The sequence below is a fragment of the Homo sapiens genome, chromosome 3 (genome assembly GCF_000001405.40).
Source record: "Homo sapiens chromosome 3, GRCh38.p14 Primary Assembly".
Classification (NCBI taxonomy): domain Eukaryota; kingdom Metazoa; phylum Chordata; class Mammalia; order Primates; family Hominidae; genus Homo; species Homo sapiens.
In genome coordinates this window covers 39,350,389-39,369,913 of record NC_000003.12, presented here as the reverse complement: position 1 = coordinate 39,369,913, position 19,525 = coordinate 39,350,389, and the positions used below count along the sequence as shown (strand labels likewise).

General features: G+C 40.1%; 1 pseudogene, besides 1 other annotated feature; it reads right to left on the bottom strand.

Moving 5' to 3' along the window:
* Positions 8,190-8,419: an enhancer, noted in NCBI's record as "active region_19703". NCBI's record gives its function as "activates an Ori minimal core promoter by ATAC-STARR-seq in GM12878 lymphoblastoid cells {active_cell/tissue: GM12878}" and the evidence as "EXISTENCE:reporter gene assay evidence [ECO:0000049][PMID:35858748]".
* On the bottom strand, positions 9,795-11,432 carry EEF1A1P24 (eukaryotic translation elongation factor 1 alpha 1 pseudogene 24; annotated as a pseudogene).

Genomic DNA, 19,525 nt, shown 5'->3' with positions numbered 1-19,525 from the left:
CTCCTGAATGACTACTGGGTACATAACGAAATGAAGGCAGAAATAAAGATGTTCTTTGAAACTAACGAGAACAAAGACACAACATACCAGAATCTCCGGGACACATTCAAAGCAGTGTGTAGAGGGAAATTTATAGCACTAAATGCCCACAAGAGAAAGCAGGAAAGATCTAAAATTGACACCCTAACATCACAATTAAAAGAACTAGAAAAGCAAGAGCAAACACATTCAAAAGCTAGCAGAAGGCAAGAAATAATGAAGATGAGAGCAGAGCTGAAGGAAATAGAGACACAAAAAACCCTTCAAAAAATCAATGAATCCAGTAGCTGGTTTTTTGAAAAGATCAACAAAATTGATAGACCACTAGCAAGACTAATAAAGAAGAAAAGAGAGAAGAATCAAATAGACGCAATAAAAAATGATAAAGGGGATATCACCACCGATCCCACAGAAATACAAACTACCATAAGAGAATACTATAAACACCTTTATGCAAATAAACTAGAAAATCTAGAAGAAATGGATAAATTCCTCAACACATACACCCTCCCAAGACTAAACCAGGAAGAAGTTGAATCTCTGAATAGACCAATAACAGGCTCTGAAATTGAGGCAATAATCAATAGCTTAACAACCAAAAAAAGTCCAGGACCAGATGGATTCACAGCCGAATTCTACCAGAGGTACAAAAAGGAGCTGGTACCATTCCTTCTGAAACTATTCCAATCAATAGAAAAGAAGGAATCCTCCCTAACTCATTTTATGAGGACAGCATCATCCTGATACCAAAGCCGGGCAGAGACACAACCAAAAAAGAGAATTTTAGACCAATATCCTTGACGAACATCGATGCAAAAATCCTCAGTAAAATTCTGGAAAACCGAATCCAGCAGCACATCAAAAAGCTTATCCGCCATGATCAAGTGGGCTTCATCCCCGGGATGCAGGGCTGGTTCAACATATGCAAATCAATAAATGTAATCCAACATATAAACAGAACAAAAGAGAAAAACCACACGATTATCTCAATAGATGCAGAGAAGGCCTTTGACAAAATTCAACAACCCTTCATGCTAAAAACTCAATAAACTAGGTATTGATGGGACGTATCTCAAAATAATAAGAGCTATCTATGACAAACGCACAGCCAATATCATACTGAATGGGCAAAAACTGGAAGCATTCCCTTTGAAAATGGGCCCAAGACAGGGATGCCCTCTCTCACCACTCCTATTCAACATAGTGTTGGAAGTTCTGGCCAGGGCAATCAGGCAGGAGAAGAAAATAAAGGGTATTCAATTAGGAAAAGAAGAAGGCAAATTGTCCCTGTTTGCAGATGACATGATTGTATATCTAGAAAACCCCATTGTCTCAGCCCAAAATCTCCTCAAGCTAATAAGCAACTTCAGCGAAGTCTCAGGATACAAAATGAATGCACAAAAATCACAAGCATTCTTATACACCAATAACAGACAAACAGAGAGCCAAATCATGAGTGAACTCCCATTCACAATTGCTTCAAAGAGAATAAAATACCTAGGAATCCAACTTACAAGGAATGTGAAGGACCTCTTCAAGGAGAACTGCAAACCACTGCTCAGTGAAATAAAAGAGGATACAAACAAATGGAAGAACATTCCATGCTCATGGGTAGGAAGAATCAATATCATGAAAATAGCCATACTGCCCAGGGTAATTTATAGATTCAGTGCCATCCCCATCAAGCTACCAATGACTTTCTTCACAGAATTGGAAAAAACTACTTTAAAGTTCATATGGAACCAAAAAAGAGCCCGCATCACCAAGTCAATCCTAAGCCAAAAGAACAAAGCTGGAGGCATCACACTACCTGACTTCAAACTATACCATAAGGCTACAGTAATGAAAACAGCATGGTACTGGTACCAAAACAGAGATATAGACCAATGGAACAGAACAGAGCCCTCAGAAATAATGCTGCATATCTATAACTATCTGATCTTTGACAAACCTGAGAAAAACAAGCAATGGGGAAAGGATACCCTATTTAATAAATGGTGCTGGGAAAACTGGCTAGCCATATGTAGAAAGCTGAAACTGGATCCCTTCCTTACACCTTATACAAAAATTAATTCAAGATGGATTAAAGACTTAAATGTTAGACCTAAAACCATAAAAACCCTAGAAGAAAACCTAGGCAATACCATTCAGGACATAGGCATGGGCAAGGACTTCATGTCTAAAACACCAAATGCAATGGCAACAAAAGCCAAAATTGACAAATGGGATCTAATTAAACTAAAGAGCTTCTGCACACCAAAAGAAACTACCATCAGAGTGAACAGGCAACCTACAGAATGGGAGAAAATTTTCACAATCTACTCATCTGACAAAGGGCTAATATCCAGAATCTACAAAAACTCAAACAAATTTACAAGAAAAAACAACAACCCCATCAACAAGTGGGCGAAGGATATGAACAGACACTTCTCAAAAGACATTTATGCAGCCAACAGACACATGAAAAAATGCTCATGATCACTGGCCATCAGAGAAATGCAAATCAAAACCACAATGAGATATCATCTCACACCAGTTAGAATGGCAATCACTAAAAAATCAGGAAACAACAGGTGCTGGAGAGGATGTGGAGAAATAGGAACACTTTTACACTGTTGGTGGGACTGTAAACTAGTTCAACCATTGTGGAAGTCAGTGTGGCGATTACTCAGGGATCTAGAACTAGAAATACCATTTGACCCAGCCATTCCATTACCGGGTATATACCCAAAGGATTATAAATCATGCTGCTATAAAGACACATGCACACGTATGTTTATAGTGGCACTATTCACAATAGCAAAGACTTGGAACCAACCTAAATGTCCAACAATGATAGACTGGATTAAGAAGATGTGGCACATATACACCATGGAATACTATGCAGCCATAAAAAATGATGAGTTCATGTCCTTTGTAGGGACACGGATGAAACTGGAAACCATCATTCTCAGCAAACTATCACAAGGACAAAAAACCAAACACCGCATGTTCTCACTCATAGGTGGGAACTGAACAGTGAGAACACATGGACACAGGAAGGGGAACATCTCACACCGGGGACTGTTGTGGGGTGGGGGGAGCGGGGAGGGATAGCATTAGGAGATATACCTAATGCTAAATGACGAGTTACTGGGTGCAGCACACCAACATGGCACATGTATACATATGTAACAAACCTGCACGTTGTGCACATGTACCCTAAAACTTAAAGTATAATAATAATAAAATTTAAAAAAAAAGAATAAGTGAGAAAATGCTGATTAGGTGCCTAGCTCACAGTAGGTGTTTAAAAATGTGAGTGTTCCTTTCTTCCTTTCCATATATTCCTCCTACTCTCATCATTTCCACTTAGTATTTCTTTTATTGATACATAATAGATGTACATGTTTTTGGAGTGTGTGTGATAATTTGATACAGTCACAGAATCGAATCAAGGTTGATGGGATATCTATCATCTTTTTTTTTTCCTTCAACTTTATTTTAAGTTCAGGGGTACACGTGCAGGATGTGGAGGTTTGTTACAGAGGTAAACGTGTGCCATGGTGGTTTGCTGCACAGATCATCTCGTTACCTAGGTATTAAGCCCAGCATCCATTAGCTATTCTTCCTGATCTTCTCCCTCCCCCACCTCCCACCCCCAACAGCCCCCAGTAGGTGTTGTTCCCTCCGTGTGTCCTTGTCTTCTCATCATTCAGCTCCCATTTATAAGTGAGGACATGTGATGTTTGGTTTTCTGTTCCTGTGTTAGTTTGCTGAGGATAACAGCTTCCAGCTCCATCCATGTTCCTGCAAAAGACATGATCTTTTTCCTTTTTATGGCTGGATAGTATTCCATGGTGTGTATGTACTAAATTTTCCTTAGTCTATCATTGATGGGCATTTGGGTTGATTCCATGTCTTTGCCATTGGGAATAGTGCTGGAGTGAACATATGCATGCATGTATCTTTATAATAGAATGATTTACATTCCTTTGGGTATGGACCCAGTAATGAGATTTCTGGGTCAAATGGTCCTTCTGCCTCTAGATCTTTGAGGAGTTGCCACACTGTCTTCTACAATGGTTGAACTAATTTACACTCCCACGGACAGTGCAAAAGCGTTTCCATTTCTCCACAACCTCAAGAGCACATCTGTTGTTTTTGACTTTTTAATAATTGCTATTCTGATTGTTGTAAGATGGTATCTCAATGTGGTTTTGATTTGCATTTCTCTAATGATCAGTGATGTTGAGTTTGTTTTTTTTTCATATGTTTGTTGACTATATAAATGTCTGGATTTGATTTGCCAGTATTTTATTGCGGATTTTTGCATCAATGTTCATCAGGGATATTGGCCTGAAGGTTTCTTTTTTTGTGGTATCTCTGCCAGGTTTTGATATCAGGATGACACTAGCCTCATAAAATGAGTTAGGAAGGAGTCCCTCCTTTTTAATTTTTTAAAATAGTTTCAGCAGAAATGGTACCAGCTCTTCTTTGTACCTCTGGTAGAATTAAGCTGTGAATCCATCTGGTCCTGGGCTTTTTTTGGTTGGTAGACTATTTATTATTGCCTCAATTTCAGAACTCATTATTGGTCTATTCAGGGATTCAATTTCTTCCTGGTTCAGTCTTGGCAGGGTGTTTATCAGTTTCTTCTAGATTTTCTAGTTTATGTGCATAGAGGTGTTTATAGTATTCTCCAGTGTTTGTTTATATTTCTGTGGGGTCAGTGGTAATATCCCCCTTATCATTTCTGATTGTGTTTATTTGATTATTTTCTCTTTTCTTCTTTATTAGTCTAGGTAACAGTCTATCTATTTGATTAATTTTTTCAAAAAACCACCTCCTGGATTCACTGATTTTTTTTGAAGAGTTTTTTATGTCTCTATCTCCTTCAGTTCAACTCTGATCTTGATTATTTCTTGTCTTCTGCTAGCTTTAGGATCTGTTTGCTCTTGGTTCTCTAGTTCTTTTAGTTGTGATGTTGGATTGTTAATTAGAGATCTTTCTAGTTTTTTGATGTGGGCATTTAGTGCTATAAACTGCTTTAGCTGCATTCTTGAGATTCTGGTACGTTGTCTCTTGGTTCTCATTAGTTTCAAAGAACTTCTCGATTTCTGCCTTAATTTTATTGTTTACCCAGGAGTCATTCAGGAGCAGGTTGTTCAATGTAGTTGTGTGGTTTTGAGTGAATTTCTTAATCTTGAATTCTAATTTGATTTCGCTGTAGTCTGAGAGACTGTTATGATTTCAGTTATTTTGCATTTGCTGAATGTTTTACTTCTGATTATGTGATAAATTTTAGATAAGTGCCATGTGGCAATGAGAAGAATGTATATTCTGTTGTTTTGGGGTGGAGAGTTCTGTTTTATCAGGTCCACTTGATCCAGAGCTGAGTTCAGGTCCTGAATATCTTTGTTAATTTTCTATCTCAATGATCTGCCTAATATTGACAGTGAGGTGTTAAAATTTCCCATTATTATTGTGTGGGAGTCCAGATCTCTTTGTAGGACTCTACGAACTTGCTTTGTGAATTGAATCTGGATGCTCCTGCATTGGGTGCATATATATTTAGGATAGTTATCTCTTCTTGTTGAATCAAACCCTTTACCACTGTGTGATGCCCTTCTTTGTCTTTTTTGATCTTTGGTTTAATGTCTGTTTTGTCAGAAACTAAGATTGCAACCCCTGCTTTTTTCTGTTTTCCATTTGCTTGGTAAATTTTCCTCCATCCCTTTCTTTTGAGCCTATGTGTGTCTTTGCATGTGAGATGGTTCCCTTGAAGACAGCATACCAATGGGTCTCCTCTTTAGCCAGCTTGCCACTTGGTGTCTTTTAATTGGGACATTTATTTAGCCCATTTACATTTAAGGTTAATATTTTTATGTGTGAATTTGATCCTGTCATCATGATGTCAGCTGGTTATTTTACAGACTTGTTTATGTAGTTGCTTCATAGTGTCACTAGTCTGTGTACTTCAGTGTGTTTTTGTAGTGGCTGGTAACAATTTTTCCTTTTCATATTTAATGCTTCCTTCAGGAGCTCTTGCAAGGCAGGCCTGGTGGTGACAAATTCCCTCAGCATTTGCTTTTCTGAAAAGGATCTCATTTCTCCTTCGCTTATGAAGCTTAGTATGGCCAGATATTAAATTCTGGGTTGGTAATTCTTTTCTTTAAGAATGTTAAATATTGGCCTCCAATGTCTTCTGGCATATAGGGTTTCCACGGAGAGTCCCACTGTTACTCTGATGGGCTTCCATTTTTAGGTGACATGACCTTTCTCTCTAGCTGCCCTTAACATTTTTTCCTTCATTTTGACCTTGAAGAATTTGATGATTATGTGTCTTGGGGTTGATCTTCTCATGGAGTATCTTACTGGAGTTCTCTGGGTTTCCTGTATTTGAATGTTGGCCTGTCTTGCTAGGTTGGGGAAGTTTTCCTGGATGATATCCTGAAGTATGTTTTCCAACTTGGTTCTGTTCTCCCTGTCTCTTTCAGGTACCCCAATCAGTGCTAAGTTCAGTCTTTTTACATAATCCCATATTTCTCAGAGAGTTTGTTAACCCTTTGTTATTATTTTTTCTTCTTCTCATCTGTCTGTCTTATTTCTGAAAGATAGTGTTCAACCTCTGAGATTCTTTTCTCTGCTTGGTCTATTCTGCTATTGATACTTGTGATTGCATTGTGAAGTTCTCATGTTGTGTTTTTCAGCTCCGTGAGGTCAGTTATGTTCCTCTCTAAACTGGCTATTCTAGTTAGTAGCTCCTGTATTGTTTCATCATGATTCTTAACTTGTTTGCATTGGGTTACAACATGCTCCTTTAGCTCGCAAGGTTCATTAATATCCATCTTCTGAAGCCTACTTCTGTCAATTCAGCCATGTCAGCCTCTGCCCAGTTCATTCCCCTTGCTGGAGAGTTATTGCAGTCATTTGGAGAAGAGGCACTCCACCTTTTTGAGTTTTCAGAATTGTTTTGTTGATTCAGTGTCAGTTTTGTAGGCTTATCTGCCTGCAATCTTTGAGGTTGCTGACCTTTGAATGGGCTTTTTGTGGGGTCTTTTTGGTTGATATTGTTGTCATAGTTTTCCATTTGTTTGTTTTTCTCTTAACAGGGCACTGACTTAGCAACCGTAGGGCTGCTGTGGTTTTCTGGGGGTCCACTCCAGACCCTAGTTGCCTCAGTTTTTCCTGTACCTGGAAGTATCATCAGTGAAGTCTGTGAAACAGCAAAGATGCCAGCCTGCTCTTTCCTCTGGAAGCTCTGTCCCCGGGGGTTACTGACCTTTTCCTGGCCTGAACACTCTTGTAGGAGGTGTCTGGAGACCCCTCTTGGGAGGTCTCACCCGGTAGGAGGAATAGAATTCAGGAAACACTTACAGAAGCAGTCCAGCTGCTTTTTGGTAGAGCAGGTTTGCTGTGTTGACAAGGCTACTCTTTGTCCAGATGCCTAGACTCTCCAGAGCTGGCAGGCTTGAATAGCTGAGTCAACTGAAGTGCAGATATGGAAGCCATCCCTGCCGCCTACCCTGCCCCCACCAAGTTCCCTCCCAGGGAGAGATCAGGTCTTTATAATACTGGCTGGAGTAACTGAAGGCTTCCCACAGGAAGACCCCACCCAGTGAGGAGGACTTGATCGGGGTCTGCTTACAGAGGCAGTCTGGGCACAATCTGGCAAGTCAAATGTGCTGCATTAGGGGGTTCCCTCTTGTCCTGACCACCTACACTCTCCAGAGCTGGCAGGCTGGAATACTAGTTGACCGCACTATGAAAATAGTGCCCACCCCTCCCCTGGGAACTCCTTCCTATCTCAGGTGGGCTCAGCCTGTTGCCCCTGGCTGGCTGGAATTCCAAGCCAGTGTGTCTTAACTTGTGAGGTGCTGTGGAAGTGGGGCCTGCAGAATGACACTTCTTGGTTCCCTGGATTCAGCCCCCTTCCTAGGGGAATGTATGAACAGATCTGCTGCCTCACCAGGGATTTTGGGGCTAGAGTATGTAAAAGTCTTGGGTCTCTGCGAGTGCCTGAGTGGCTGCTCTGCCAAGGCCCCACACAGCTCTGTGTATAGGACCCAAGGCCCTAGAGGTGTGGGCTCACGAGGGGATCTCCTGATCTGTGGGCTGCAAAGATCTGTGGGAGAAGCATGGTTTCCTGGGCAGGGTTGCATGATCACTCACCACTTCCTTTGGCTGGGGGTGGGGGTTCCTTTGGCTTTGTGCTACTCCCGGGTGGGTCATTGCCCCAACCTGCTTTTCTTCATTCTCCTTGAGTCAGGTTAATTTTCTAGTCAGTCCCATTGTGAGAACCTGGATATTTCAGTTGAAGGTGCTAAATCCACTTGCGATTTTCCTTACTCTCTGTGAGTGCTGCGGACCACAGCTGCTTCTATTCGGCCATCACCACTGCAGGACAAGTCACTGAATGAGGGACAGGGCTGCTCACAGTGGAAACCACAAAGTAGCTCATTCTGCTCAGCACCTCGCTTACTACTTTGCCAGAGAGACAGGGTGAGGAGCAGATACTGAGTGAGCTTCCCTCAATGTCTGTGGTCTCTTTCTAACTACCTGCGGGAATCCTTGGATATCTATCATCTTAAATATTTATCTTTTCTTTACACTAGGAACATTCATATTATTGTTTTCCAGCTATTTTGAAATGTTCAATTGATTAATGTTAACTATAGTCACCCTACTGATCTATTGACTACCATGTCTTACTTCTATCTAACTGTATATTTGTATCCATTAATTAACCTGTCTTCATTCCCCCTGTACCCATACTTTCCTACCTCTGGTAACCACCAGTCAACTTTCTATCTCCATAAAATCCACTTTTATAGCTCCCACATATGAGTGAGAACATGTGATATTTGTCTTTCTGTGCTTGGCTTATTTTACTTAACATGTTGATGCAAATGACAAGATTTCATTATTTAGATAGCTGAATAATGATTCATTGCATATATATATACATATTATATATACATATTTTATATATATACATATTATATATATATATACACACACACACACACACACACACCTGTTTTCTTTATTGAATCATCTACTGAGGAGTACTTAGATCAATTCCATATTTTGGCTATTGTGAAGGGTGCTGCAATAAACATGGGAATCCAGATCCCTCTTTGATGTATTGATTTCCTTTCTTTTGGCTATATACCCAATAGTGAAATTGCTGGATCATATGGTAGTTCTATTTTTTAGTTTTAGTTTTTTTGTGTTTTTTTTTTTTTTTTTGAGACAGAGTCTTGCTCTGTCACCCAGGCTGGAGTGCAATGGTGCCATCTTGGCTCACTTCAACCTCCACCTCCTGGGTTCAAGTGATTCTCATGCCTCAGCCTCCCGAGTAGCTGGGATTACAGGCACCTGCCACCATGCCCAACTAATTTTTTGTATTTTTTATAGAGACAGGGTTTTACCATGTTGGCCAGGCTGGTCTCAAACTCCTGACCTCAGGTGATCCACCCGCCTCGGCCTCCCAAAGTGCTGAGATTACAGGCATGAGCCACCATGCCTGGCCTATTTTTTAGTTTTTTGAGGAAACTCCACACTATTTTCCATAATGGCTGTACTAATTTATCTTCCCATCAACAGTGTATGAGGGTTCCTCTTTCTCCACATCCATGCCAATATCTGTTATTCCCTTTCTTTTTTTTTTTTTTTTCTCATTAAACCTTTTTAATGGGTCTCAAAATTCTGTAACAGATTTTTGGTCAAGTTGTTTCCATTAAAAAGTACTGATTTTAAAAACTAATAACTTAAAACTGCCAGATGCAAAAAAGAAAACCAAAGTGGTCCACAAAACATTCTCCTTTCCATCTGAAGGTTTTATGATGCATTGTTATCATTAACCAGTCTTTTACTACTAAACTTAAATGGCCAATTGAAACAAACAGTTCTGAGACCATTCTTCCACCACTGATTAAGACCGGGTGGCAGGTATTAGGGATAATATTCATTTAGCCTTCTGACCTTTCTGGGCAACTTGGTGACCTTGCCAGCTCCAGCAGCCTTCTTGTCCACTGCTTTGATGACACCCACGGCAACTGTCTGTCTCATATCACAAACAGCAAAGCGACCCAGAGGTGTTTAGTATGAGAAGCTCTCAACACACATGGGCTTGCCAGGAACCATGTCAATGATGGCAGCATCATCAGACTTCAAGAATTTAGGGCAATCTTCTGGCTTTTTACCAGAACGGCAATCAATCTTTTCCTTCAGCTCAGCAATCTTGCATGCAATGTGGACCATGTGGCAATACAGTACAGCGGCATAGCCAGCGCTGATTTGGCCTGGATGGTTCGGGATAATCACATGAGCAGTGAAGCTAGCTGACTCCATTGGTGGGTCATTTTTGCTGTCAATTGCCACGATGAACATCCTTGACAGACATATTCTTGACATTGAAGCCCACATTGTCCCCAGGAAGAGCTTCACTCAAAGCTTCATGGTGCATTTTGACAGATTTTATTTCATTGTAATGTTGGCTGGAGCAAAGGTGACCACCATACCAGGTTTGAGAACACCAGTATCCACTCAGCCAACAGAAACAGTACAAATGCCACCAATTTTGTGGACATCCTGGAGATGCAGGCACAAAGGCTTGTCAGTTGGATGAGTTGGTGGTAGGATGCAGTCCAGAGCCTCAAGCAGCATGGTTCCACTGGCATTGCCATCCTTATGGGTGACTTTCCATCTCTTGAACTAAGGCATGTTATCACTTGACTCCAGCATGTTGTCACCATTCCAACCAGAAATTGGCACAAATGCTACTGTGTCAGGGTTGTAGCCAATTTTCTTAATGTAAGTGCTGACTTCCTTAATGATCTCCTCATATCTCTTCTGGCTGTAGAGTGGCTCAGTGGAATCCATTTTGTTAACACCAACAATTAGTTGTTTCACACCCAGTGTGTAAGACAGGAGGGCATGCTCTTGGGTCTGCCCATTCTTGGAGATACCAGCTTCAAATTCAGCAACACCAGCAGCAACAATCAGGACAGCACAATCAGCCTGAGACATCCCTGTAATCATGTTTTTGATGAAGTCTCTGTGTCCTGGGGCATCAATGATAGTCACGTAGTATTTGCTGGTATCAAATTTCCACAAGGAGATATCAATGGTGATACCATGTTCACGCTCAGCTTTCAGCTTATCCAAGACCCAGGCATACTTGAAGGAGCCTTTTCCATCTCAACAGCCTCCATCTCAAATTTTTCAGTGGTTCTTTTGTCGATGCCACCGCATTTGTAGATCAGATGACCAGTAGTGGTGGACTTGCCCAAATCTACATGTCCAATGACAACAATGTTGATATGAGTCTTTTCCATTCCCATTGTTGCTTTTAGGGGTAGTTTTCACAACACCTGTGTTCTGGTGGCAAAACCAGTGTGAAAAAGCTCCTTTCTTTTTGATAAAAAAGAAAGCCGTTTTAACTGTGGTGAGATGGTATCTCACTGTAGGTTTTTTGTTTTTTTTTTTTGTTTGTTTTTTTTTTTTTTTTTTTTTTGAGGCAGAGTCTTGCTCTACTGCTGAGGCTGGAGAACAGTGGTGTGATCTCAACTCACTGCAACTTCTGCCTCCTGGATTCAAGTGATTCTCCAGCCTCAGCCTCCCTAGTAGCTGGGATTACAGGTGCATGCCACCATGCCTGGGTAATTTTTGTATTTTTAGTAGAGACCGGCTTTCGCCATGTTGGCCAGGCTGGTCTTGAACTCATAATCTCAAGTGATCTGCCTGCCTCAGCCTCCTAAACTGCTGGGATTACAGGTGTGAGCCACTGGAACCAGCCTCATTGTAGTTTTGATTTGCATATCTCTCATGATTAGTGATGCTCGGCATTTTTAAAATATACCTCTTGGCCATTTGTATGTCTTCTTTTGAGAAATGTCCATTCAGATCTTTTGCCTTCCTCCCCTTTTTTTGAGAGATGGGGTCTCATTCTGTTGCCCAGGCTTGAGAGCAGTGGCATGATCATAGTTCACCATAACCTTGAAATCCTGGGAACACATGATCCCTCTGCTTCAGAATCCCAAAGTGCTAGGAGTATCGCCCATTTTAAAATGTAATTATTTGCTTTTTTCCTATTAAGTTGTTTGAGCTCGTTATATATTCTGGTTATTAATTCCTTGTCTGAGGCATAGTTCACATATATTTTCTCCCATTCTGTGGGTTGTCCCTTCAGTTTATTGATTGTTTCCTTTGCTGTGCAGAAACTTTTTAGTTTAATATAGTTCCATTTATCTGTTTTTGTTTTTGTTGGTGGTGCTTTTGAGGTCTTAGCTATAAAATCTCTGCCTACACAAATGTCCTCAAGTGTTTCTCTTATGTTTCTCTCTAATGGGTTTATAATTTCAGGCCTTACATTTAAGTCTTTAATCCATCTGGAGTTGATTTCAGTGTATGGTGAGAGACAGGTATCTAGTTTCATTCTTCTGCACATTCAGTTTTCCCAGCACCATCTATTGAAGAGACTGTCATTTTCCCATTGTATGTTCTTGGTGCCTTTGTCAAAAATGAGTTGGCTGTAAGTGTGTGGATTTATATCTGGGTTGTCCATTCTTTTCCATTGGCCTATGCATCTGTTTTTATGCCAGTACCTTGCTGATATAGTGTTGTAGTGCATTTTAAAGTCAGATAGTGTGATGCCTCCAGCTTTGTTCTGTTTGCTCAGGATTGCTTTGGCTATTTGGCATCTTCTGTAGTTCCACACAAATTTTAGCATTGTTTTTTCTATTTCTGTGAAGAAAATCACTGGTATTTTGATATGGGTAGCATTGAATCTGTAAATCATTTGGGGTAGTATTGTCATTTTAACAACAATAATTCTTCCTCCAATTCATGAGCATGGAATATCATTTCATTTTTTCTGTCTTCAATTTCTTTCATCAGCATTTTATAATTATTTTATATAGAAGAAAATTCACACATTCAATGCTATCCCTATCAAATTACCAGTGATATTCTTCACAGAAATAGAAAAAACAATGCTAAAATTTGTATGGAACCACAAAAGATGCCAAATCACCAAAGCAATCCTGAGCAAAAAATTTTCTTTCACTTTTTTGGTTAAACTGATTTATAAGTATATTTTATTCTTTATAGCTATTATAAATGGGATTGCTTTCTTGATTTTTTTTCAGATTGTTTGCCGTTGCCATATATAAATGCTATAATGATAGTGAGGTAAATTCAGCAAGAGAATAAAACAATTATAAATATCTATGCAACCAAAACTGGAGCACCTATGTATATAAAGCAAATATTAATAGATCTAAAGGGAGAGATAGGCTGCAATACAGTAATTGTAGGGGACTTCAGGACCCCACCTCATATGCATATTATGATTTTGTATCTTGCAACTTTACTGAATGCATGTATTAGTTCTAACAAGTTTTGGGGTCTTTATGTTTTTCTAAATATAAGATCATGCCGTCTGAGTACAAGGCTAATTTGACATCTTCCTTTCCAATTTGGATGCCTTTTATTTCTCTCTCTTTCCTGATTGCTCTGGCCAGGACTTCAAGTATTATGTTGAATAAAAGTGGTGAAAGTGGGCATCCTTGTCCTTTTGCAGATTTTAAAGGAAAGGCTTTCAATTTTTTCATGTTCAGTTCAATGTTGGCTGTGGGCTTGTCATAAATGGTCTTCTTTACTTTCAGGTGTGTTCCTTCTATACCCAGTTTGTTGAGGATTTTTATCATAAAGGGATGTTGAATTCTAGCAAATGCTTTTTCAGCATCTATTGAAATGATCATATGGTTTTTGTTCTTCGTTCTGTAAATTTGGTGTATCACATTTATTTATTTACATACATTGAAACATTCTGGCATCCCTGGAATAAATACCACTTGATCCTGGTGAATGATCTTTTTAGGGTATTGTTGAATTTTGTTTGCTATTTTTTAAATTTATTTTACTTTTTTGAGACAGAGTCTCACTCTGTCACCCAGGCTGGAGTGCAGTGGTGCAATCTTTGCTCACTGCACTAGACCAGTCCAAACCAAGACAGGTCCATTCCAGGATCAAGGGGCAATCAAAACCTAACTACAGGATGATTGATCAATGATGGTTTTGAAGAAAGATCTTGATCAAAAGAGGGAAATGTGAAAGTTGTCAGAATCAAAATGCAGTCACTTGTGTTAGAAAAAAATGAAAACCCTGACAAATAGAGCCAGGGAAGTCTATGAAGGGAGGGCTCTCATGCATAAATGTCTGATAAAAAGAACTATCACAAAAGATTCTGCAGAAACAACAAACTTGCACCAAAGCCATCACATCTTTACACAAAAAAATACGTCTTTGAGTATATCTGCCCAGCAACTGCCAGTTTAACCTCAAACTAGCATCACCTTGTTATTGATTATTGTAGCCAAGGATAATTATCTCAAAACAATTATACAATCCTCCTCATGTTTCCTTTAAAAACTTTTGTCTTTCTTTACCTCCCTGAATATGCACATGCCCATAGTTTACTATGGCACATGTATTTCTATTGCAATGCTCTGTTCCTGAATAAATATCTTCTTTGAGAGAGCCTCTCTGTTTATTATTTAGGTTGAGAGAGTAAAAGTGCTAACACCTAGATAACTAAAGTTCAAGGGAAGAGAGAGAGAGAGAGAGAGACAGAGAGAAATGGAAAGGAAAAACTATTTGAATAAATAATGGAGATCTCTCAGGGTTAAAGAAAAGCCACAGTGGCTGAAATGTCACAAGTAATGCAAGTAATGAGAGGAGTGGGATAATGTGAGGAGGAATGGTGTACAGGGCTGGCTCTGTAGGGTTTTATATTCTGTGTTGAAGAGTTTTTATGTTTCTTTTTGTTTCTAGAGAAGGATTGCATTTTATTATTTTTTTGTTTCTATTTATTTTTGTTTTATTTTTTTGAGACAGGGTCTCACTCCATCACCCAGGCTGGAGTGCAGTGGTGCGATCTTGGCTCACTGCAACCTCTGACTCCTGGGTTCAAGCGATTGTCCTGCCTCAGCCTCCCCAGTAGCTGGGACTACAGGCATGTGCCACCACACCTGGCTGATTTTTGTATTTTTTGGTAAAGACGGGGTTTCACCATGTTGGCCAGGCTGGCCTTGAACTCCTGACCTCAAGCGATCTGTAAAAAGGGTTGCATTTTAAAATTAAGTTATAATTTACACACAGTGAAATTCACCCTTTATCTTTCTATGCTGTACCATGAGAATGTTGCAGAGCAGAAAAATAGAAAGACCCTACAAATCTTTCTGAGTTTTGTTTTATACAACTGCAAACTTACACAGGAAGAATCTCAAAGAAATGGACAGTAGGAATGATTTTTCCTATCTACAATGAGAATGCCCTCTGTGGAGGGGGAGAAGGAGCTAGTGAAGACAAGAGGTCTGCATATTCTGGAGCCAGTGAGACAACAACTCCCACACACCAGCATCTGATGTGATCTCGAGGGAATATAAGAGAGGATCCAGGACTGAATTAAGATTTTTAGGGGTTCTGAATTCTGTCAGCTCCCTTTTCTCCCCACACTTCTGACACCTTACTCTAATTTTGTTGGTATCAGATGGAGATCCTACTGTAGCCGGATTGATAAGGAATCAGAGAGACCGATGGGGTTCAGGAGGATATTTATTTATTTATTTATTTATTTATTTATTTGAGACGGAGTCTCTGTTGCCCAGGCTGGAGTGTAGTGGTGCGATCTCGGCTCACTGCAAGCTCCGCCTCCCAGGTTCATGCCATTCTCCTGCCTCAGCCTCCCGAGTAGCTGGGACTACAGGCACCTGCAACTACGCCCAGCTAATTTTTGTATTTTTAGTAGAGAAGAGGTTTCACCACATTAGCCAGGATGGTCTCGATCTCCTGACCTTGTGACCCACCCTCCTCGGCCTCATGAGGGATTACAGGCATGAGCCACTGCGCCTGGCCAGGAGGATATTTATTATTTAGGTGCACCGGCCCAGTCAGATTAACATCCAAAGGACTGAGCCCTGAACAAAGAGTTAAGTTACCTTTTAAGCATTTCATGGGGTGGGGGGAGATCTGTGCAGGGGGAAGCATATTACAGAAGCAAGAAACAGAGACAGTTATTCAATTAATTGAGACATGCATTCTATCATTTCTTACTTTTCAAGGAAAAACATGTTTTGCAACTTGAGTTTATCTGTCTAGTGACCTTGCAGCTGCATAGCTAGAGAAACAGCGTCTTCACAATGCCTGGGAAAGGAGGAGAGATAAGGCTCACTAGCCACAGAAAAAGAGGCAGTTAATTTTTTTTTTAATACTTTAAGTTTTAGGGTACATGTGCACAACATGCAGGTTAGTTACATATGTATACATGTGCCATGTTGGTGTGCTGCACCCAATAACTCATCGTTTAACATTAGGTATATGTCCAAATGCTATCCTTTCCCCCTCCTCCCACCCTACAGCAGGCCTCAGTGTGTGATGTTCCCCTTCCTGTGTCCCTGTGTTCTCATTGTTCAGTTCCCACCTTGAGTGAGAACATGTGGTGTTTGGTTTTTGTCCTTGTGATAGTTTGCTGAGAATGATGGTTTCCAGCTTCATCCATGTCCCTACAAAGGACATGAACTCATCATTTTTTATGGCTGCATAGTATTCCATGGTGTATATGTGCCACATTTTCTTAATCCAGTCTATCATTGTTGGACATTTGGGTTGGTTCCAAGTCTTGCTATTGTGAATAGTGCCCCAATAAACATACGTGTGCATGTGTCTTTATAGCAGTATGATTTATAATCCTTTGGCTATATACCCAGTAATGGGATTGCTGGGACAAATGGTATTTCTAGTTCTAGATCCCTGAGGAATCACCACACTGACTTCCACAATGATTAAACTAGTTTACAGTCCCACCAACAGTGTAAAACTGTTCCTATTTCTCCACATCCTCTCCAGCACCTGTTGTTTCCTGACTTTTTAATGATTGCCATTCTAACTGGTGTGAGATGGTATCTCATTGTGGTTTTGATTTGCATTTCTCTGATGGCCAGTGATGATGAGCATTTTTTCATGTCTTTTGGCTGCATAAATGTCTTCTTTTGAGAAGTATCTCTTCATATCCTTCACCCACTTTTTGATGGGGTTGTTTTTTTCTTGTAAATTTGTTGGAGGACTCTAGTTCTTTCTTTTTCTCTGGGGGAATGGGGTTTTCTTACATACAGCTGAGTTTCTGCTTACAATTTCTTTAATTTCTTTTAGTTCCTGTTCCATTCCCCTCTTTGGTGCTTTTTATAACAAAAGTGTTAATAGAAAGCACTACATTTTGCCGCCTCTCCGTGGAGCTGAGATTTTTCTTTTGCTGGCAGCAGCTGATATTTGGTTAATGCCATCAACTACGCTGTAGTGTGTTGGGTTACTATTGCCTTTATAGTTGATTGAATACTGTTAATAAACAGAGGTAAAAGGCAAGAGAGGATGAGGCAGATGCCAAGAATAAGCAAGAACCTACCAATGAGGGTTTTGAATCTTTTAAAGGTTGAGAACCATTTTCCTAACAAGGAATCTGGGGACCACCTGGACTAAGTCTGAACTGGAACATGGGTCAACTCGGGCATTCTAGCTGTGATTTCCATGATAGCTCGGCCATTATCATTGATCTCTAGGCAACAGTAGGTTAAATTAAATTTTCCACATACTCTTCTTTTTGAGGCTAAAAGGTAATCTAAAGCTAATCTATTTTGATATATAGCATTTCTTATTTGTGTTGCTTGTATTGCCAATAAATCTAGTGCCCTTGATGTTTCATTGGTTATAATTTCAAGGACTACCTGCAACTTTATGATGCGGTTGAGCATATAGATTGGGGTGCGATATCTCCATGACCCATCTTGCGCCCAGGTAGCTGGCCTATAATATTTAATGATTCTTTCAGGAGGCCATTCCTTATCTTTTCAGTCTCCTATGTTCACATCTTTTTGACATTTGTGTCTATTTTTGTAATTATGCTTCTAGTTTTTTAAAATTTTTATCATAAACTGGATATCTTAAGGGTTCCCCTTGCTTTGGAGGAATTAGAAAGGATGGCTTGATTGCGCCTAACACACATGCCCCTGTCCATTTGGCCAGCAGTTGCTGATATGCCCATACACTACAGATTCAATATAGGCCAGAGGGTGCTTTCCAAGCATTTGGAGCCTCTAGCTGATGCCAAGAGTGGCTCAGAGTAGAGAATCGAGAGAAAGGGTTTGGATCTGGTAAGTAGGAGTAGTTCTGGGCATTTCTCTATAGAGTTTTATTTTTAGTCTTATTGTAATACTGTTGCCCTAGGCAGGTTGTTTCTCTTACTGCCTCTGTGAAAGCCTTTCCCCATTGGGCGATACAGTACTTTTTAATTATGGAGGTTTTTAACAACCAAACACTGGCTGAGGCTGTTGGTTCACTGGCAGGGTTAGGTGAAGTGAAGTTATCTCAAGGCATTAATTCCTTTGCCTCCCGTGGCCACTGGCTCCCCATATTAGTTTTTTTACATACATAGCATGAGGAAATTCTTGAGCTGCCAGCTATGTTTTCAGCTAGTTGAGCAAATAAGTTTTTGGTTAATGGGTGGAGCTCAGACACTGGCTGATCAAAATGCTTATAGAATGACTTATGGACCTGGAATTGCAGGGTTGGATGCATTTGAGTCCTTCTAGTCTTTTTGACAATCAGTAGTGGAACTTCAAGGCCTGCTTCTTGTCTATCAACTCGTAATAGTGCTGTCTGTCCTGTAGACCAAAAAGGTAGCTCTGGCTTTAAGGTAGTAAAATTTAAAGGATTGCGTGTCCTTATCTTAAAATTTGGTTTGGTTGACATACTACTTAGTAGAGCAGTCCTTCCTGAATATAAATGTTGGAGCTGTGTTAGCACAGACCACTGAATGTTACAGTTTGGGCATCCGATTTGTGGTTTTCCGTACAGATAAGTTTAGGACTGTTGCTGCTAAGCCTCTCTTGTGTTAAACCATTGCAGACTGCTTCTGGTTTTTTATGATTATGAACATACGTGGCGTGGCAGGCATCAAAGTACAAGGAAATAGGCCTTTTATAGGAGGGAGGGGCTTCTTTGGTTCAAGCTATAACCTCTCCTTTTTTTTTTTCTCTGATTTGATGGGTACCTCAAACGAGAATTCATAGGGTAAAAGGGTTATAACATACATATAGCTGCTTATTTCCTGGGTCACAGACTGAATAGGTGGCCTGGTTGTATGTGCAGGTTCCTAACTTGGTTTCTGTATATTTATAGTAGGTATGGTACAGTAGAGTTTTAACTAGGTATTTCTTACCCAGGTAGTGTGTACACAGTGTGGGCATCTTTCTAGAGATTTCTCCTTTTTCAGTATAGGCAGAAATGGTAAGAACATTAGTGTATGTAATAGAAACATGCTTATACTACACATGGGCACGGCAAACCTTCCTCTGGGCCTAGACATTTGCAGCATTTGCAGTAATAACATAACAACAGAACAATCAGTATTGACAGAATTATAACTAGGCTTATAAATTGTATT